This window comes from Homo sapiens, chromosome 9 (assembly GCF_000001405.40).
Source record: "Homo sapiens chromosome 9, GRCh38.p14 Primary Assembly".
NCBI lineage: Eukaryota > Metazoa > Chordata > Mammalia > Primates > Hominidae > Homo > Homo sapiens.
The window spans coordinates 133,535,239-133,555,147 of NC_000009.12; the positions used below are offsets into that span (position 1 = coordinate 133,535,239).

General features: G+C 58.3%; 1 protein-coding gene across 6 annotated transcripts in view, besides 7 other annotated features; it reads left to right on the top strand.

The window, feature by feature from the left end:
* The window catches only part of ADAMTSL2 (ADAMTS like 2), a 43,356-nt gene that overhangs the window by 3,075 nt on the left and 20,372 nt on the right, over window positions 1-19,909 (top strand). For 2 of the 6 annotated variants that reach the window (NM_001145320.2, NM_014694.4), the window contains exons 2-10: window positions 1,325-1,564; window positions 2,167-2,309; window positions 3,111-3,186; window positions 4,533-4,635; window positions 5,360-5,505; window positions 5,640-5,763; window positions 9,232-9,312; window positions 11,800-11,975; window positions 19,119-19,455. In NM_001145320.2, coding sequence (NP_001138792.1) covers window positions 1,475-1,564; window positions 2,167-2,309; window positions 3,111-3,186; window positions 4,533-4,635; window positions 5,360-5,505; window positions 5,640-5,763; window positions 9,232-9,312; window positions 11,800-11,975; window positions 19,119-19,455 — 1,276 coding nt within the window. In that variant the 5' untranslated portion in view covers window positions 1,325-1,474. Of the gene's footprint in view, window positions 1-1,324; window positions 1,565-2,166; window positions 2,310-3,079; window positions 3,187-4,532; window positions 4,636-5,359; window positions 5,506-5,639; window positions 5,764-9,231; window positions 9,313-11,799; window positions 11,976-19,118; window positions 19,456-19,909 lie in introns of all 6 variants that reach the window. The other 4 variants (XM_005272239.3, XM_011519241.3, XM_011519242.4 and 1 more) reach the window with 4 other exon arrangements.
* Window positions 495-1,036: an enhancer, noted in NCBI's record as "H3K4me1 hESC enhancer chr9:136400855-136401396 (GRCh37/hg19 assembly coordinates)". NCBI's record gives its function as "activates a minimal SCP1, AML or CMV promoter by ChIP-STARR-seq in naive H9 embryonic stem cells {active_cell/tissue: H9 hESC(naive)}" and the evidence as "EXISTENCE:reporter gene assay evidence [ECO:0000049][PMID:30033119]".
* Window positions 1,577-2,116: an enhancer, noted in NCBI's record as "H3K4me1 hESC enhancer chr9:136401937-136402476 (GRCh37/hg19 assembly coordinates)". NCBI's record gives its function as "activates a minimal SCP1, AML or CMV promoter by ChIP-STARR-seq in naive H9 embryonic stem cells {active_cell/tissue: H9 hESC(naive)}" and the evidence as "EXISTENCE:reporter gene assay evidence [ECO:0000049][PMID:30033119]".
* Window positions 3,917-4,648: an enhancer, noted in NCBI's record as "H3K4me1 hESC enhancer chr9:136404277-136405008 (GRCh37/hg19 assembly coordinates)". NCBI's record gives its function as "activates a minimal SCP1, AML or CMV promoter by ChIP-STARR-seq in naive and primed H9 embryonic stem cells {active_cell/tissue: H9 hESC(naive and primed)}" and the evidence as "EXISTENCE:reporter gene assay evidence [ECO:0000049][PMID:30033119]".
* Window positions 5,382-6,113: an enhancer, noted in NCBI's record as "H3K4me1 hESC enhancer chr9:136405742-136406473 (GRCh37/hg19 assembly coordinates)". NCBI's record gives its function as "activates a minimal SCP1, AML or CMV promoter by ChIP-STARR-seq in primed H9 embryonic stem cells {active_cell/tissue: H9 hESC(primed)}" and the evidence as "EXISTENCE:reporter gene assay evidence [ECO:0000049][PMID:30033119]".
* Window positions 5,587-5,846: an enhancer, noted in NCBI's record as "active region_29247". NCBI's record gives its function as "activates an Ori minimal core promoter by ATAC-STARR-seq in GM12878 lymphoblastoid cells {active_cell/tissue: GM12878}" and the evidence as "EXISTENCE:reporter gene assay evidence [ECO:0000049][PMID:35858748]".
* Window positions 7,085-7,585: an enhancer, noted in NCBI's record as "H3K4me1 hESC enhancer chr9:136407445-136407945 (GRCh37/hg19 assembly coordinates)". NCBI's record gives its function as "activates a minimal SCP1, AML or CMV promoter by ChIP-STARR-seq in naive H9 embryonic stem cells {active_cell/tissue: H9 hESC(naive)}" and the evidence as "EXISTENCE:reporter gene assay evidence [ECO:0000049][PMID:30033119]".
* Window positions 10,051-10,706: an enhancer, noted in NCBI's record as "H3K4me1 hESC enhancer chr9:136410411-136411066 (GRCh37/hg19 assembly coordinates)". NCBI's record gives its function as "activates a minimal SCP1, AML or CMV promoter by ChIP-STARR-seq in primed H9 embryonic stem cells {active_cell/tissue: H9 hESC(primed)}" and the evidence as "EXISTENCE:reporter gene assay evidence [ECO:0000049][PMID:30033119]".

Below are 19,909 nucleotides of genomic sequence, written 5' to 3' on the forward strand. Positions count from 1 at the left end.
GCAAGTGTGAGGCCGGCTGGCACCTGTCTTCAGCCGGCAGGCAGAGGCTGGGGCACCCGTTAGCCAATGGCACAGTGGAGGGGGCTCCTGTGGGTGTGAGGCTGAGAGTGCAGATGGAGGTCTGCAGGGGAGGGAGGTGGGGGGCAGGCGGCGGGGGCAGGGGAGGTCAGACTCAGGCTCCCCACTCCAGGGTGCACTGCTGCGTCGTCCGGGCTGCAGTGGTGTCCTTGGAGTGGCCCCTGAAAATCTGCAGGTGCCGGGCCTGCAAGGAAACTCTTCAAGTTGGATGGAGGCTGCTGAGGAGGGAGGGGCAGAGCCCGAGTTGGCCTCTGGCCTGGCAGGGGTGAGGGGTGACCTCCATGCCTTCTTCCCCTGGAATTGGCCAGGCGTGGGGGTCGAGTCCCTGAGTTTGCTAGTGTGCTACCTTGCTGTGTGGCTTTGAGCAGGTTGGCTCCCCTCTCTGGGCTCCAGGTTATGAGTGCAGGCTGCGTGGTTTCTGAAATCCCTTCTCTAACTCGCTGGCAAGTGACCCTCAGCACCTGAGCAAGGCCTGGACAGAGGTCATGGTGGATCTCTGGTCTTCCCTTCCACAGGGCAGGGTCGACGCTGAGGAGGGGGTGGGGAGAGCTGAGGGCCTGGAGGCTGGACAGTCCCTTCCAATGGGCTTGCTTTGACCCCTGGCAGGTGTTTTGAGCCAAGGGTGCTGGCTGTTGGGAGGAAGTCAGCCTTGTGGCCCTGGACTGCTGACATGCTGGCACAAACTGCACCTCCTCCTGCCCTGCCCCTCCCCCAATTCCATCTTCTCTCCGGGGATCGGGAGGCGGCATAGGTACCTGGGTTCTGCCTCACCTGAGTGCCGGCTGTTGCTGGATGCTGACTGTGGAGCTGCTGGTCTAGGGCGAGGCTGCACATTCCCCCGGGACCTGGCCAAGCCCATCCCCATGCACTGACCCTAGCAGCCAGTGGCAGAGGCCATTCTCCTGCGAGGCCAGCAAGAGCTGAGCCAGTTAAAATCCCAAGGTGCTCCTGCCAAGGCGCTGGACTGAGCCCAGGCCCATCCCTTCGAACCAGAGCCTTTCCCCCCGCCTGGGTCCCCAGCCCCCTCAGCCGAGGCTGGCTGTCTCCACAGCCCTTCTCTAGGGGGCTTGAGGACTTGGAGGCAAAGCATGGCATGCTTCCCTGCATGCCCTTGGATCAAGGGTGGCACAGGCTTAGCACGCACACCGCCGCTGGGTGTCTTGCCTGAAGCAGGCATTACTAATCATTCACCAAGCTCCTTCTTGCTAAGCCTAGACTGAGGCGGGGGGTTCATCCTTCCCAACAGGGTCTGCCAGACAACCACGACCAACTAGTCCCAGATAACCTTGAGGCCTGGGCACTGGCTGGGCCCCGAGGGCTCTTCCCAAAGCGTACCCTGGTCATCTGGAAGAGGATCGGAGCTGGCCTGGTGGTGACAGTGGCCTTGCTTCCTAGGATGGATGGCAGATGGCAATGTTCCTGCTGGGCCTGGTTCCTGCTGGTTCTGGCAGTTGTAGCTGGGGACACAGTGTCAACCGGGTCCACGGTGAGTGGGGTGTTGTGGTCTGAGGGCCCATGCCAGTCCCCTACCCAGGTGCTGTGATCACTCTCAGATGGACTGGCTTGGAGGGAGCCGTGTGGGCACGTGCCCCAGGTCCCAGAACCCATCTTGGCTCCTAGAAACTTCTGCCCAGAGCCAGTCAGATCAGCCTCTGAACTGGGGCCCTGGCTACTGTGGAGCCCCTGGCGACTTGGCAGGCGAGGGCTGAGGGGGCTGAGTGCTTCCCTTCCAAGTGAAGGCCCCAGCACGGCCAGGGTAGGCTGTGTCCTGCAGAACGCAGTTGGGCCCTGAGCTGCTCCGGGGAAAGTGAGGACAGTTAGATGCGGCCCCAGGAGCTTGCCAAGCCCCCAGGCCATCCTGGACCTTAAGGTCAAGGAGGACCCGTGGCCCACGGTTCCTTGGGAGTTCCCCCCAGCGCCACCCAGGAGATCTGAACCCAAGCTGCCGAGTGACCCTGCAAGGGGGCCCAGCCAGGGGGCTGTGTCTTCTGGTCCCGCTGACGGTGATACCCTCGGGCATGGGGTGGGGGCAGGCTGGTCCTCCTGGGCACTTGAGCCCTCTACCATCTGGGGGTCCCTCTCACCCAGGACAACAGCCCAACATCCAATAGCCTGGAGGGGGGCACCGACGCCACGGCCTTCTGGTGGGGGGAGTGGACCAAGTGGACGGCGTGTTCCCGCAGTTGCGGGGGTGGGGTGACATCCCAGGAGCGGCACTGCCTGCAGCAGAGGTGCGAGGTTGGGCACGTGGCCCTGAGGGGATGGCATGAGGGCAGGGTAGCGGGCAGGAGAGGGCGGTTGGCTCTTCAGCCTGGTGGCTTCTCCCCCTGGGAGGGCTCTCGGGTTGGGGGCAGCACAGGCTGAGTCCCCCCATCAGCCTCTGCTGGACGCGGCTATGGATGGGCCCCAGCACTGGTGCTCTGGGGTCCTTCATGCTTCAGGGCACCAGGAAAGCCCTTTCACGAGAGGGCAGGAGCCATTTCTAGAGGTCTGTCCTGGAGGCGGAGAACCACCCTGACTTCTCTTCTGAAGACCTGAGTGAGGGTCTTTAGAATATGCCAGGGAGCCCCGGGAGAAGCAGAGGACTGGCAGGAAAGCCTCCGCTGCCAGATGGACCTGGCTCCTATCTAGCCTGTGCTACTCCCTCACTGTATGACCTTGGGCAAGTCACTTAACCTCTCTGAGCATCAGTTTTCTCATCCATGGCATGGAGAGCGTGCTGGTCTCACCTCATGCTTCTGAGAACACACATGTGTGTGCACCTGGGCACAGGCCTGGCACACAACCCATGTGGTTGTTTCAATTCTGTGTACTGAGCCCCTGTGCTATGTGCTGCTGATGTAGAAGTGAATCAAATCTCATTCCCCCTTGGCTCTGGTGTGTGTACGGGGTGGGAGTTGAGTAGGGAGGAAGGAGCCCTCTGGGTCACGGGTATCGGGAGATTCTGGATCCCAGTGGCCGTGGGGCCAGCCCAGGCGACATTCCTGAAACTCCTCTGCAGCCCTCACTCCGAGCCTGCATCTTTCTGCCAGGAGGAAGTCCGTCCCGGGCCCCGGGAACAGGACCTGCACGGGCACGTCCAAGCGGTACCAGCTCTGCAGAGTGCAGGTGAGGCCCGGCCCGGGCAGGGGCACCATGGCCTGCTCTCCCTGTCATCATGCAGTTTTCAGGGGGTCTTCCAGGTGGCTCCTGGGCATTCTGGGCATTCTGTTGTGGGCTGCTCTTCAAGGAGAGCCCAGGAGCAGGGTTGAGAAGGCTGCGGGGGGCCCTGGGCTAGTACGGAGCCATCCACTGTCCAGACCACTGTCCCTGTGCTCACATGTGCTCAGCAATGCTGGGACGGGCGGACTCACTCTGCTCCTGGAACTTCAAGTGCAGCCTCAAGGTTTGGGGTCTCTGGTCGCAGCTCCACTTTACTCACAACATTCGTGCACCTGGTGCTCACAGAGACCCAGCAGTTGCCAGGCTTCCCCGTCCCATGAAACAGTACCCCCCACGCCATAAAACAGTTCCCTGGGTTGCTCTCGGAGCCCTTCTGCTCCAGCCCCCATCAGCTTCCTTGGGTAGCCGAGGCTGAAGAGGAGGTTCTGACTCTGACCAGGCAGCTCTCAGTGGGGCCCTGGGCAGTTGGAACCTGAACACCTTTCCAAGGACTGCAGGGCGTGAGGCTGGGGCACGCCGAGCTGGGATCTGGGCCTCCCAGGCTGGCTCGTGTGGCTTGCCTGGGCAGGGAAGGCAGAGCAGCTGGGGGTCTCTGTGTCTGTGTGTCTCAGGGGGTGTGTGCGCACGTGCAGGGAGTGAGGGGCTGGAGGGAGGCAGGTGGCCACCGCTTCTGTGTTGGCGTCACCTGGTCAGCTGCCCTCCTAGGGCAGTGCAGCCAGGGTTGGGGGAGGGGCATTTATGAGCTCCAGCATGAGAGGGACCCAGGTTTGAGCTCTGGCCCCGGCACGACTAAGCTGGGTCCCCTCCGAGGATGAGTCTCTTGTCTGCACGCTGGGTTCCTCTTTATGGAGTCAGGACCACGATCTTCCTGATTTACGCAGTGTGCATGGCCACGGACCGTGTGCCAGGCCCTGTCCCGTCACTGTAGACACACAGTCAGGGCCTGCTGAGGACACGGGCGAGGGGAGCACCCTTGCCAGCCATCCTAGGGTCATGTCCCCTCCACCGCAAGGCTGGGAGAAGGCGTGGTGGGGACTGGGAGGGTTGTGTCTAGAGTAGGCGGAGGGCTGGCGTGGGGGGCGGAGCTGCCCTTTCCTGCGTCCTTGCTCCCTCCTGAGAGCGCATGGGAGCGCGCAGGAGCCCTAGAGGCCACCCCGTGGGCCGTGGCCCCCGCACGGCTGTCCCGGCTGTCCCGGCTGTCCCGGCTGCAGCCACTTCCTGCTTAGCCTGGACAAAAATGCCTTTGTCGGGCCGAGTTCCTCCCGGAGCCTCCCTGTCCCTTCGCTTCCCAGGAGTGTCCGCCGGACGGGAGGAGCTTCCGCGAGGAGCAGTGCGTCTCCTTCAACTCCCACGTGTACAACGGGCGGACGCACCAGTGGAAGCCTCTGTACCCGGGTACCTGCCGCCCTGGGGACCCACCTTGCAGGGAGCTGACTGAGCTTTGGGGGTAGCCCTTCCGGCACCTGGGACCAAACTCGACGGGTGGGCAGGTGGGGAAATGGAGGTGGTCAGACGAAGAGCCAGGAATGAACCTGGGTCTCCTGAGCCCTGGCCCAGGGGTCTGTCCCCTCCCCCATGACCCATGACATCAACGCAGGACAGATTACGGGACTGAGTTCCCTGCAGACCTGACCTCTGACGGCAGTGGTGACTTGCTCACTTACTTACTGGCTCCTGGGCACAGACAGGAACCAGCCTAGACGATCCCAAACGGAGACTGCCCACACGGTCCCATGGAAAGCAAGTAGCTCAGGCAACAGTGTAAATGCTTCATCCTTCTCCTGCTCACCCGCAAGGGCCAGGGCTGGGGTGCCCAGGGCCAGCAGCACAGGGGTGTCGAGTTGGCTCAGACCTCCTGCAGAGGGGGAACCCCAGTATGGGTCTCAGGCGCTGCTCCCCACTCACGAGGAGGTAGAAGCTGGAACTCACGGGGTGTGGGCTGAGCCAGAAGACCCATCAGTTTCTGCCACTGAGACCTGGACAGGTTCCTTCTGTTCTCCAGGCCTGAGTTGCCCCATCTATGCAATGGGAGCTGTCTCAGAGGGAGGAAAAGGGAAGTCCTCTGAATCCGGCATTTCCTGCCCCGCTGAAACCTTCTGTCTTTGTCTCCCTCCACCAGATGACTATGTCCACATCTCCAGCAAACCGTGTGACCTGCACTGTACCACCGTGGACGGCCAGCGGCAGCTCATGGTCCCCGCCCGCGACGGCACATCCTGCAAGCTCACTGACCTGCGAGGGGTTTGCGTGTCTGGAAAATGTGAGGTTGTTAAACGTTGTAGCAAAAGTACCGCCGGTCTCACTGTGCTGACTGCCCGCCCGCCTGTGGGAGGCAGTGGCGGCCCCGGGGCCTGGCCACAGCGCCCTCCCAGCAGCCCTCTCCCTCTCCCTTCCTGCAGCCCATCGGCTGTGACGGGGTGCTTTTCTCCACCCACACACTGGACAAGTGTGGCATCTGCCAGGGGGACGGTAGCAGCTGCACCCACGTGACGGGCAACTATCGCAAGGGGAATGCCCACCTTGGTAAGCCACAGCGCGCCCTGGAGTCCAAGCACAGCAGAGTCTGGGAATCGGGGGTCCTGAGTGTGCTCCTGTCTGCAGCCTCCTGTGTACCACTGGGCAAGTTCTTCCCCTCTAGGGGCACCTGATTCAGCATCCCAGGCCGGGTGAGCTGGCCTGGTGATTGTAGGCCTCCGTTGGCTTGCAAGAATGGGCAACCCTTTGTTGAGGACCTGCTGGGTACCAGTGGACACTTGGCTTGGGGGTCACATTTGCCCTTTGAGACAGCCTGCAGGGAGGTGTTAACAATGCACCTTTTTTTTTTTTTTGAGACAGAGTCTTGCTCTGTTGCCCAGGCTGGAGTGCAGTGGCTTGATCTGGGCTCACTGCAACCTCTGCCTCCCAGGTTCGAGCGATTCTCATTCCTCAGCCTCCCGAGGAGCTGGGACTACAGGCATGTGCCACCAAGCCTGGCTAATTTTTCTATTTTTAGTGGAGATGGGGTTTCACTATGTTGGCCAGGCTGGTTTCGAACTCCTGACCTCGAGCGATCCACCCGCCTCCGTCTCCCAAAGTGTTGGGGTTATAGGCATGAGCCACCATACCTGGCTAACACCACACTTTAAAAAGGGAGAAACTAAGGCCCAAGACCCATTCTCTCCACGGATATGAGGTTTGACCCTGGCACGCTGGATTCTGGGGCCTGAGTTTCAGAGGCTCCCTGTCGGCTCCAGGCTGACCCAGCCCAGAACCCCTCCTTCCCTTGGGCAGCACCTGTCCCCTTCCTAAGCTGCAGGCATTTGGCCCGATGTTTGTGTCCAGCTCTGTCCCAGCCCTCATCGGGGGTGGGCGTCTGTGCATGGGACAGCACTTTCTACTTTTGGAGGGATGTCACTTGTAATGCTTGGCATTAGATTGAACACACTTTTGGTTCTGAAGAAATGTTTGAGGAATGGAACTGGGTTATTGCAACCTCCAGACCTGGGAAGGCAGGACAGCTTCAGACCCACTTAGCAGATGGGGAAACCAAGGCCCAGAGTGGGAATAATCTGTCAAGGTCCCAATGAGGCCAGTTGACTCTGGACTAGAACCAGGCCTGTTAGGGCCACGGAGGACCCGACCGTGTCTTGAAGGTCGAGGGAATGACCTCAGCCTGCCACTGAGGGCTAACTGTGGCGTGAGTGTTGGCTCCAGGAGGTGCCAGTGGGAGGGCACTGGAGAGGGTGGGGCTTGGACATGGGACCTAGGGACGGGCGTGCCGGACTGACAAGGGACAGGCAGGGGTGTGAATAATGCGGGCTGGGTGTCCAGCAGGGCGAGGTGGGCAGAGGCCCTTTCTTTGGAGGCCTCGCTCTAGGAGCCGCTAAGGTGTCTGATTTTCCTCCCTTCCTCTCACAAACCTGCTCACACGGCCTCCTGCTGGACCCAGGGCATGCAGAGGGAGAGTGGGCATTGGGGCAGCACGTGTCTTGTAGGGCACGTAGTGTGTGCCAGGCACTGTGCACACAGTGAGGCCTGAGAGATAGGGCTCATGTCCTCGTGGAACTCAGCCTGGGGCCAAGGGGCTGACATGCAAACAGCGCCCCTCATTCTTCTCCATATTCACAAGGTAACTCATTCACGCCTGGCAACAGCTCTACAAGGCTGGCACTATTACTGTTGCTGAAATATACAGAAACAGTCAAAGAGAGGCTAAATAACTCATCCAAGGTCACACAGCCACAAGAGGCAGAACGGGGCCTGAACCCAGGCAGCCTACTCTTGGCCTGTGATCCTCCCAGCTGAGCCACACTCTTTCCCCGGACGAACTGTGCTTGGTAACCACGCTGGGGGCTGTGGGATGGGCTGGGGTATTAAATGCTCAAGAATCTTGTGAGCTGCTTGCTAATTTGAAAATTAAAGTATAACAGTCTATATTTAAATACATTATATTTAAAACAAAGTCACCATTTTCTAATCCTTTAGTGTCTATAACTATTTTTTTTTTTGAGACGGAGTTTTGTTCTTGTTGCCCAGGCTGGAGTGCAATGATGCGATCTCGGCTTTCTGCAACCTCCGCCTTCTGGGTTCCAGCGATTCTCCTGCCTCAGCCTCTCAAGTAGCGGGGATTACAGGCTCCCACCGCCATGCCCAGCTAAATTTTTTTTGCATTTTTAGTAGAGACAGTGTTTCACCATGTTGGCCAGGCTGGTCTCGAACTCCTGACCTCAGGTAATCTGCCCGCCTCGGCCTCCCAAAGTGTATAACTATTTTATCTGTGTGGCAAAAACACCATATACGGGTGTGCTGCAGCCTCTCTTCCCAATGCCACACCCAGTGATATCAGGTTGGTAGTGCAAACAAACATAGCTTCAGTCGCTTGCTTCAAGCTTCTATCTTGAAACCCAAAGAAGGGGAAAAATGTTTTAAAATGCATTTTGAAGTTAAGCTGCCCCATTACAGTGGCTTGAAATTGGCCACAGCGGGGGTGTTTACACCACGGAAATTGGCCAATGCTACAAGTCACAGCTCCTGTTCCCCTGTGTCTCCAAAGAGCCCACTGTTAAACATTTTCCAGAGCACGGCTGTCTGTGAGGGACAGGTCAGGATCTCCAGGGACCTGTAGGTGTGATGGTGTTAGGGGAGGGATGGCAGGCGGGTACTGGCCTGCAGGAGACACTCACCCCAGCAGGGAGATGCACGCGGAATCCTCCGTTCCCAGAGGGATCCGGTGAGACAAGCGTCAAGCCTCAGGAAACGTCCGACCTGGAGAGCCCCTTCTTTCCTGTCCCAGGGCGTATTAAAATCTCTCCTTCTCCCCAGGCTCCTCTCTCAGCCACCTGCCAGCAATGCCTCTCCTTCTCTGAGCACCTCCCCTCCAGACCCTTGGTTTCTTTCTAGCTGGGAGGACTGCATGGCTGCCTCCGCACGGGCCTGGGGGCCTTGAAGACAGGCTCTGAGCTGGCTGATATTGCCCGATCTGGATCTCAGCCTGGGGCCTGGTGCTTAGGAAGGGCGTAGGCTTAGTTGGAGATTCTATCTGCAGCTCTCCTTGTCCTTTCTCACCCACGTCTTTGAGTGTAGCTAGCCTTGAAAGTCAACGTGTTGTTGTCACAAGACAGGATTTTAAAATGGCAGTGACAATGCACGCAGGGAGCTGGGGCTCCATCGGCTGCCCAGGGTCTCCTGGGTGACACATGGCAGAGCCGGACTGAACTCCCAGTGTGCTCCATGTCCCTGTGGCCCTCGCTGTCCCTCGGGAGGGGCTGGGGCAAGCACGGATGAGCCTTCCTATGGCCTTGGTAGGAAGGGGTGAGCCTGGGCAGGTGCCCAGCTTGGTGAGTCAGCCTCTGCAATGGGACGGGGCTGAGCTGAGCTACACAAGCGGGTGTGGGGGTTGGGCCAGCCCTTAGACAGCCACCGCTCACCCTCCAATAGCTGTGGAGTGGGCGAGTGCCACCCAAGGCTGCCTTTCCAATCAAGAGGGGCTCACTGTCATCCTTTTGCCTCCAGGTTACTCTCTGGTGACCCACATCCCGGCTGGTGCCCGAGACATCCAGATTGTAGAGAGGAAGAAGTCCGCTGACGTGCTAGGTGGGTACGCAGTGTCTGGCAGCTGCCTCACTGAGCTTTTGGTTGTGGAGCGTTGTGCGTGGCAGAGAAGGGGCACTTGACCCTGGACCCCTTCCTCCAGGACAGGGATGGACCAGTGCTGTGGGCATGGCTGCAGGAGCCAGAACTTGAGCCAGCTGTGTGGGTGTGGCTGGGGTGCTCACAGGGGAGCCAGCTTTACCCCTGTGCATGGCAGGACCTTGAACTCAGAGCTGCTGGACAATGGGAGGGTGGTGATGTTGGGTGGTGAGCTCCCTGTCACTCGAGAGCCTGGCACAGGCAGAAGCTGGGGGCCGCTGCAGATGAGATCCCTGTGGGGTTCGAGGAGTGAGTCTCAGGAGATGACAAGGTCAAGGTAGCACTGAGAGGAAGTCGGTGCAGAGGTAGGATTCCGACTCAGGTCTGGGGTCTCATGCTGATGTTCTTGCCATTAGTCAGACTCCGCTGGGAGGCTGGGCTGTAGGAGGGGAGTCCTCTAACCTGAGTATTCTGGAGTTGTTTCCATGATGGACAGAGTGGTGAGGCCCCATCTTGGTGGCAGATTTTGAGTGTAGGGAGCCTTGGTGGCAAATTTTGGAAGAGCCCTCTGGGAAGATGGAGTATTGGCCGAGCAGCGTGCCATGTCTGCACCCCTTGGGCCACAGTGGGCAGGTGCTGACACCTGTGAGCTGCTCTGTGCTCGGCCCTTCCCTTTATGGGGCGGGCTTGGGTATAGGGACGCTGTTCTTGGACACAGGTGCAGCCCCAAACCTGACACTACCTGGGTTTACTCCCCCCACTGCCTCCCACTCTTCTTGAGAGCCAGAACTGGTGGGGTGAAGCCCATCTCCTAAGGGGGTGCTGGAAGAGGAGGCTTTGCTGAAGGTCTTCAGGCTGGGACCCACCTTGGGTTCTCCTGTTCCCTCTCCAGAGCCTAAGGGCCAGCCCTCCGTATGTGCCCTGGGGTCTGAGTGCCCCTGCCCCAGCAGGTCTGTGCTGCAGATGCTGGCTCCACCACCCAGCGCCCTGGGGGCTACTCCCTGGCCCGAGCGGGGAGCCGGGCCTCTCGCCAGGCCAGTTGCTTTGTCGCTTGCTTGCTGGGAGAGTGGAGAGGCCAGGAAACTCCACATTCTCTGAGCTGGCTGCAAAGCTCTTGCTCTTGAAACAGACGCGTAGAAATACCAAGGGTGGGCTCGGAGCACTGGGAAAGCCGCAGGAAGGAAGGTCATTACTGTCAGGAAACAGGTTTTGGACGAGAGCCTCGGATTTAACCCTGTGCATATACCTGGAAACAGGGCCGAGACAACCAGGCCCCAGCACACTCCCCCTCGCAGAACTTGGACTCTAATTTGCGTTATCTTCTGACTTTTCTACGTGAAGGGGGTTTTTCAAGCAGACATGTCCTGCTTGTTGCGTCTGTCTGATAATAAATTAATTGCCCCGGCTCCTCTGTTCATATTGCATCAGGAATTTGGAAGCCGAACTCCTCTTCTCCCACTGGCCAGTTCCTGGAACTGGCTTTAAGGACACCCTTTGGAAGACAGAGTGTCCCGAGCGCCGAATCGGCCTCCTCCCTGCGTCCCCAGCCCTGGAGGCCCCCCACCTCTTCTCACTCTCCATGGCCCCAGGGAGGATCAGTTCCCCTTGAAACCCCACCAGCTCTGGGCTGTTGTTCCAGTCTGCAGGGGTGGTGGGGAGTGGGGGCTGCAGGGCTTCATGGGCCATTTGTTTCCATCCTGAGCTTCCATCAGGCTGGAGTTAGGCCCTGGGAGTGCCCACCCACCCGGCCCCAGGAAGAGGGCAACTGAGATTGCACCAGGCCACCCTGGCCTGATTGGGCACCCAGGAAGAGGGTGACTGAGATTGGACCAGGCCGCCCTGGCCTGATTGAGCACCTCGGCCAGGCCTGGGTGCACGGGTTGACTGGGTGAAGGGTCAGCATGGCCCTGCCTGCAAGGGCAGCAGGAAGTCTCTGCTCCCGTGGAGAGGTTGGAGCTGGCCAGCTCAGGGCGATCCCCAGGAAAGGCCTGGTGGTCAGCACACCCATGCCAGCCAGGCCAGGGCTGCAGGGTCACTCTGTGTGGATGACGGGAGGGGCACCCAGGACCCCTGCTGCCTCGTGTGTGCCTTCCACAGGCCACAGACTCTCCTGCTCCAGACTGGGTCCCTTGGTTGTGGTGCGACCTCATTACCTTGCAGCCCCTCAGCTTCTTCACAGGTAGCCACAAGAACAGGACCAAATGGGTCCCCAGCCAGCCGTGTTCAATGTCTAGACCAGTCCTTCATTGCTGATTTTAGGCTGAGAGGAACGTGCGTTTGCCCCTCCTCCGCATTCACTGGCCAGACTCTCCATGATGGGAGTTTCCTGTCTCGGGAGCATTTGAGCCGGGGTTCTGGAGGGCAGGGCTGGTGGTGGTTCCCTGAGTTGGTGACACTGGCTCCTCCCCCAGCCAGTTTGGCCTTTTGTGACCGGCGGCTTTGCCCTTCCAGCTCTTGCAGACGAAGCTGGCTACTACTTCTTCAACGGCAACTACAAGGTGGACAGCCCCAAGAACTTCAACATCGCAGGCACGGTGGTCAAGTACAGGCGGCCCATGGATGTCTATGAGACCGGAATCGAGTACATCGTGGCACAGGGGCCCACCAACCAGGGCCTGAATGTCATGGTACGTGTGCCGCAGGCCTTGGGGGCCCCAGGGGCCCTGGGCACTGTTTCCCCAGAATCCAGCCACAGGTGAGGTCTTCCAGCCCGTGACGCCCCCAGGGCCACTGTGCGCGTGCACCCGGCAGCCTCACCACTCTGCGTGGGCTGGGGCTTCACGTTCAATCACTGTTACTCATTCACTTGTTCTTTCACTAACTCCCTCCCCCATTCATTCATTCACTCGGATTTTGGTTCATTTCCAGTCTCCCATTCACTCATCAGTTCATTAATTCATTTACCTGTTCACTTCTCACTCAACCACCTATTCTCTCACCCACTTCTTGAAATCATTCATTCCTCCATCCATTCACTGTGGCTAGCTTCCCTGGAGGACCAGCGGGGGTTCCGTGCTGGCCCATTTCCTGCCCTTTGGGAAGTCCACAGGGAGCTCGGGGCATTAAGGTTGAGGCTGGACCCCTCCCTACCCCACGGTGGAGGGGTTTATGCCCCTACCTAGCTTCAGGCTCCACCCCCTCCCCAGGCACTATGGTGCTCGGTCCTTAGTGCCAGGGCCCAAGGTAGTTCCCGTGGCCCCTGCCCCTCCCCTGACATGGCCTCCCCAGGATACTCAGGGGTTCTGGGGTGGGGCTCAGGGCCCGAGCAGTGGGCAGGAGGGAGCGTGGGCCTGTTATGCCCGACTTGCCACAAGTTCTTCTATGGCTAGCGTCTGGAAATGGAGGCTCTGGTGGCTTGGTGCCTCAGCACCGAAAATATGTAAAGGACTTGTCATGTCACTGAAGTCAGGTGACATCAAGAAGGGCAGTTGTGGTGCCCGTCAAGGCCTGCTGACTTTCCTGGAGGCCGAGGGAATACAGCAGGGTTGGAGCCACCCCACAACCTGGGCTGTTTTGGTTTCCAGATCTCCCTGTGGTGGGTTTCATTGCCTCATGTTGCAGGTCATGAAATGTGGGCACAGAGCGAGTGACTTGCAGTCATGGAATTGTGAGTGGCACGACTGGGCTTTGAACCCAGGCCTGCCTGGTGCCAGAGCCTGTTCTTTGTTTAGCTGCTGTGCTGGAGGGGTCTCTAACTGGGGGTGCTTGTCCATCTCCCCACACTGCTTTTTGGCTGAAGAGCTTTCCTGGTGACCCCGGAATCAAATGGGGGCCACGCATCTCTGTGTCTGTGCTTACCTGGTCCTGCCTGGAGCTGTGTCTGGAGGTGGACTGACCACTTGGCTTTGCCTCCTGGCTGCAGGGGCTGTTTTGTAGGTCAGGGTCCCCAGAAAATAGACTCTGAGGTGGGGGTTTGTGTGCAAGAGAGCTTGGGGGGCAGTGTCAGGAGCGGTCTCAGGAACACTGATGTGGGCAGGAGGGCACGGGACTAGACAGAGGGAGCAGCTGAGTTGTGATGCAGTTTCAACGGGCTTCGGCCAGCCCCCTGGGGGTCGCATTATCTCAAGTTGGGGCAGGAGGGCATCACATACTGCCAGGTGTAGTTGCCCCTTGTGGGGGGCATGACCTGGGGAGAGACAGCTCCCCCTGGCTGAGGGAAATTCCTGGGGTGGGGCACAGCTGTGAACTGTTGCGCACCCACCCCAGGCAGTTCACCGAAGGGTGGGGTCCGTGGTCCACCCCCAGCACAGCTTGGACCTATGCGCTTTGCACGAGTCTGCCTTGGCAGGGGAACAGCCCCTCTAGAATTGCATTGGTTTCTTTCTCAGGGAGCCTTACAGGAGGAAGTTTAGTGGGCTGAACTGCAGCTGGTGTAGGGGCTACAACTGACACTCACAGTTTCCTTCTTTTTTTTTTTTTTTTTTTTTTTTTTTGAGACGGAGTCTCGCTCTGTCGCCCAGGCTGGAGTGCAGTGGCGGGATCTCGGCTCACTGCAAGCTCCGCCTCCCGGGTTCACGCCATTCTCCTGCCTCAGCCTCCCAAGTAGCTGGGACTACAGGCGTCCGCCACTACGCCCGGCTAATTTTTTTTTGTATTTTTAGTAGAGACAGGGTTTCACCGTTTTAGCCGGGATGGTCTCGATCTCCTGACCTCGTGATCCGCCCGCCTCGGCCTCCCAAAGTGCTGGGATTACAGGCGTGAGCCACCGCGCCCGGCCCACAGTTTCCTTCTTCTGCGACGCCCTCTATTTCCCCTTAGCCTGGCTTAGCACCTCAGAGGGGCCAGGTGGCTACCTGGTGAGGTGACCCTGGTCTCCATGACCATCTCAACCTGAGGCTGCTGCTTTTGTCCAGTTATCATCACAAGGGGCAGGGGGATACCAAGAGATGCCCAGGGCATCAGCAGGTGCCACATAGATTCTTTGGCCCCAGGGTCAAACAACGCCTTTCCTACTCTTTTTTTTTTTTTTTTTTTTTTAAGTAGAGAGAGGGTCTTGCTATGTTGTCCAGGCTGGTCTCGAACTCTAGGCCTCAGGTAACCCTCCTGCCTCAGCCTCTCATAGTGCTTGGATTATAGGCGTGAGCCACCTGCCTTGGCCTGTCTGCTCTTGATGATCAAGTTCAATCACCCAGCCAGGACGGCCACTCGTTTCCATGCTGCTGGTCTCTTGGCACAAAATGCCCAAACAGACCGTGTGTGGCCGCAGCCTAAAGTGTAATGAAACTGTTGCTTCGTCTTTGGGTGGAAACGTTCCCCATGTGCAAACCAAGGTCTCCAGACCACAGACCCCAGAGCTGCAGGGATGGGGAACACACAGTCCCCAAGTGGTGGCTGGGAATGATCGCTACTGCTACTGCCCCTCCTGCATCCCAGACCCATGTCTTCTATGTGCTGGGCACACAGCACCAGGACTAGGCACAGGGCCAGAGGGTATGAGACAGCTGTGTCAGCAAGGGACCCAAGCTCCCCCATCCAAGACCCTTGCACCCACATCCGCTTTCTAGCTCACAGCTATGGCTGTGTGGGGGTGCCCTGAAGAGCAGAGAAAAATGGCCAAACTTGATTTAGAGATGGGTCGGCTTGCCCTGAGGGTGCAAGCTGGAAGTAAGATCTACTTCACTAAAGCCCCATCCAGGGCTGGCCTGGAAAAACGGCAGTGAAGGAAAATCCTTTGATTTATGTGGGTGGTGCCTCATGGGAGATGCCCCATCCTCACGGGCGTGCTGCCTTTCAGCTGGCACTGTGGCTCCCCGCTCCATTGCTCCATCAGGCTGGCATTTCTGGGTGTTGGAGGATACGGCAGGCCCAGTGGATCTCACAGTCATGCGCCCATTGTGGCACGTCCTCTGCTATAAAGCGGGTCCCTTTGTTTAATGCCATGTTCTCGGTACCCTGTCCCATTCAATCAAATACTCTGTGAGCCTTTGGGCGTTGGGGCTGTGGCTGAGCTTCTGTGGGCAGGAAAGGCAACTTTTATTTAGGACCAGATTCAGCACTTCCCCTTCCAGGATGGAAGGGGTCTGATGTGATCAGCTTGTCACCCAGTAGCTGAGTGGCCTTTAGAGGTGGTACTTTAGAGGCTTAGTGTTGAGGCCAGAGACTGGACGTTCAGGAGCGGAAGGAGCTATGGTGGCTGTGGTGAGTGAGAAGCCGTGTGCTGGGGCCACATGTAGCTTCCATCCCTTCCTCCACGCTGATTCATTCACCCGTTGTGCCTGCAGTGGGGTGATGATGCCTGTGACTAGCCTGTGTCCAGTGGCAAGGCCATTCTGTCTTCTACTGGGGTGTTTAGTGCCTCTCGCATGGTGACACTTCCTGGTACAAATGAACAAATGAAAGGAAGACCTCCATCCTTTATGCCTACTCCCTAGATCCAGCCACAGGTACCTCCTCCAGACCTCCTGGTCCCCAACCTTCTGATCTTTCCCACCCAGGCTCCTGACCAGCCAGCCAAGCCACTTGCCACCACCCATGATTCAGTTCATACTCTCATCTCGGGCTGCCCTGCCTCCCATCACACCGATGCTTACATCACATGCACTGCCTGAAGCCCATGGGGAAGATTTTCCTTCACTGCTCTTTTTCCAGGCCAGTCCTGGATGGGGCTTTAGTGAAGTAGATCCCACTTTCAGCTTGCACCCTCAGGGCATGCCGACCCATCTCTGAATCAAGTTTGGCCATTTTTCTCTGCTCTCCCTTCATCATAAGGGCCCCCCCACACACAGCCATAGCTGCGAGCTGGAAAGGGGATGTGTGGGTACAAGAGTCTTGGATGGGGGAGTTTGGGTCCCTTGCTGACACAGCTTTGTCGTACCCTCTGGCCCTGGGTGTGCCTAGTCCTGGTGTAACACTTCCACCTTACAATGGATTGCTGCTGGCGGAGCTGGTAGAACTCGTGTTGGAGGCAGCTCTGGCTGTGTGGGTCGCCTGATGTCCCGTAGCCCAAGTGTTCCATCTCTAGTAGGGCCTCGCAGTGTGCCAGAAGTTTTTTGCAAGTGATGTGTATTTATTTACTGCAGATGGCCTTGCTCCAGAACCATAGGGTGCTATGTTATGCTTTCCCTACAGGCTTTCCAGAAATTCCATCTGACATCTTTCCCTACCACAGATATCTCTATTCCTATAGGATCTGCCAGGTCATACGGCCCATGTGGCGGGCTGCTTGCCTCACAGCCTGGACCTGCTGCAGGGCCCCTTCCACTCAGGATCCCACCCAAAGCAGCAGCTTTTTTTTTTTTTTTTTTTTTTTTTTGTTATTTTTGAGATGGAGTCTTACCCTGTTGCCCAGGCTGGAGTGCAGTGGCACAGTCTCAGCTCCCTGCAACCTCCGCCTCCTAGGTTCAAACGATTCTCCTGCCTCAGCCTCCAGAGTAGCTGGGATTACAGGCGCCCACCACCACACCCAGCTAATTTTTGTACTTTTAGTAGAGATGGGGTTTCACTATGTTGGCCAGGCTGGTCTCAAACTACTGACCTCATGATTTGCCCGCCTCGGCCTCCCAAAGTGCTGGGATTACAGGCGTGAGCCACCGCACCTGGCCAGCAGCAGCTTTTAATGTCACCCAGCAGATGAGTTGAACAGATATTCTTGGATGTGGAATATGCTGGCTCCAGAATTACTCTTCGTGGTGGAGGGTATGAGATGCTGTCAATTTCTCTTTCCTCTCAAAGAGATGTCTGGTACGCCCTAGCCCGCGGAACCCTGACATTTCCACTAATGTAAGGGGCTGCCGAATCTTCACAGGGTTGAATCTCTGCTCCTCTGGAAGACAGGTGCTTTACCAAGACCTCTGGCACCAGTGTCTGCTCCTCTGATCTGATAAGTGTGGCGCCATCAGTGCAGAGGACAAAGGTCAAGTGCTTGGAGTGGTCCAGATGCCTTTATAGTGTATTGTAATTGGGAGCGGGAGCGTAAGTGTAGCCCTGGGTCAAGACTGTAAACACATACGGTTGTCCACCCCAGGGGAATGAAATAGTTTCTGGTCCACCTTCTTGACAGGGATAGAAAAGAACATATTTTCCAGATCAGTGGCCACCTAGGATCAACCTGAGGCCATGCTGATCTGCTCTAGGAGAGAGACCACAGTGATCACATCCTGGCAGTGGAGGCCACCACTTGGTGGAGGGTGCAGCACCCATCCAGACTCGGATGGCAGATCCCTGGGGTCTGTCTTGTTATTGTGGGGGCTGAACTATCGAGTTAAATGCGGGATGTGATGGGCTGGCTACATCTGCATCCTTTAGGTCAGCCCCTACCTGCTCTATGCTTCTAAGTGCCATCCTAGTAGCCTGGTAGCATTTCTCCCCACGTTCTTACCAAGGCGCTAACTTCTTTGTCATGAGAGGATGCACCCAGCAGTTCCTGAGGGCTGGTCCTGCCGTTCCATTGGTGTATAGCCCCTTCTCCCAGGACTGCCCTGACTGGGCGAGAATGTGACTTAATCTAAGCTATTGGTCTGGTGGCTGGGAGAGGAGGGCAGGCCAGCTCCTGTGGGAGGCCCGCGTGGCCGTGAAGGCAGAGGTCTCTGTGTCGTCTTCAGGCAGGGGTGGCGCTGGCTTTAACAGGGACAAATGGGACAGGCCCATTTTTGAGGCCCTGAAGGCTTGGGACGTTTGAGATGTGAAGTTTTTCAAGTGTATTGACGCAGATCCCCACACCCCGAGTCTCAAGGTCCCCCTCTTCTGGTTGGTCTCTGTCCTGGGCATAGCAGGCCTAGCAGAGTTGGGAAGAGCACGCTCTCTGCTCCTTGGAGGTGCCTCTGCCTCTCCCGCCTTCCAGCTGCAGGACACGAGGGTGTCTTTCTCTGCGGCTGCGCAGACCCTCACCCTCACCTTTCCATGCCATCCTTCCGTTCTTGGGGTCCTTTACTTCCACAAACCTCTGCAAGTTTTTAACCCCTACCCCTGCCCCAGCCAACTCTCAAACACTTGAGCTATTGCACCAATAGTGCATTTCCTTTCGCTGGCATTCTCTCCCAGTTCCCTAGTGGTGAACCTTTTCACAACCGCTTCACTGTCTTCCGGGGGTCTCTGTGCTCCAGGCATTTCTACGTGGGCCCTCGTTGCCTCTGCCAGCCCGTGACCCTCTCCGACATCCTATTTTAAAATCCTAGGCCTGCCTGCTCCTGACACCAGCTGGTTTTGGTTGGAATCTCTGGAAAAAGCAACTCCTGGAGAGAGGGGCAGCAGGGGTCTGTGGAGGGAGAAGCCGGGCTGCCCCAGGGTCTTGACAGGGGCCTCAGCCCATCCCACAGGGAGCCCTGGAGCGGGGATGAGCCTTCACTGTTGTCTCGAATTGAGGCAGAGCCTGGGTCTTTGTACTCCCACCTGGCCTGGGCAGTGGGGCTCTGGGTTGGAGGGTGGTGGGAGAGGGACACCGTGATTACTTAGAATTTCTGGCACATGGTGAGAAGAAAATGCAGGCCAGGTTTTGTTGGCTTCATTACTTAAATTCTCTGCATACAGCATGCAGAGACGAGGGCCCACCTGGGCGTGCCTGGAAGACTGTGACGCCTTGTTGCCTGTACCCAGGGTGGGCCACTCCCCCCACCACACATCCCCAGCCCCCGCCCTGTTCCCAGGCTCTTTGACTTGGATGCCCCTGGGGCAGGAGCACTGCGTTGGGCTGGGCTAGTCAGTGTCATTCCCTGAGGGGGCTCAACTGCCAGTCACAGCAGGGAACGCACCCTGCAGCTCTGTGGGAAGGGGATTGGTGGGGAAGGGGCTGGACAGAGTAAGGAGGGGCTGGGGACCCACTTCTCTTTCCCTAGGTGTGGAACCAGAACGGCAAAAGCCCCTCCATCACCTTCGAGTACACGCTGCTGCAGCCGCCACACGAGAGCCGCCCCCAGCCCATCTACTATGGCTTCTCCGAGAGCGCTGAGAGCCAGGGCCTGGACGGGGCCGGGCTGATGGGCTTCGTCCCGCACAACGGCTCCCTCTACGGCCAGGCCTCCTCAGAGCGGCTGGGCCTGGACAACCGGCTGTTCGGCCACCCGGGCCTGGACATGGAGCTGGGCCCCAGCCAGGGCCAGGAGACCAACGAGGTGTGCGAGCAGGCCGGCGGCGGGGCCTGCGAGGGGCCCCCCAGGGGCAAGGGCTTCCGAGGTAACCAGGAGGAGGGAGGCATGAGGGTGGGGCCCGGGAGGCAGCCCAGGGAAGGGGGCCTTGGGGAAGGGGTCTCAGACCCTTTGCAGACCTGCAGAGGAGGTTCCTAAGAGCTGCCAGCTACCTGCAGATGTCCTCTGGGCAGGCACAGGGTTGAGGACTTGGGATAGGTCCTTCTGTCCATGCATTCTTTGAGGTAGATGTGGTTATCCCCATTTGATGGATGGGGAGACTGAGGCTTAGAAAGAGGAAGTGGCTTGGCCAAGTCATGCAGTCCACCGTGGAGGAGCTGGGAGTCAAATGCAGGATGGTCTGATCTCTCGCTCACCCCATCGCTCACTCAACGAGCACCTGGTCTCACCTCAGCTCGGACAGCACAGGGAGCAAAAGCTTCGGGGGCCCCAGGCGCCCCTTGGCTGTGACCGTGTCACTCCAGCCTCTGCCTTTGTCCTCA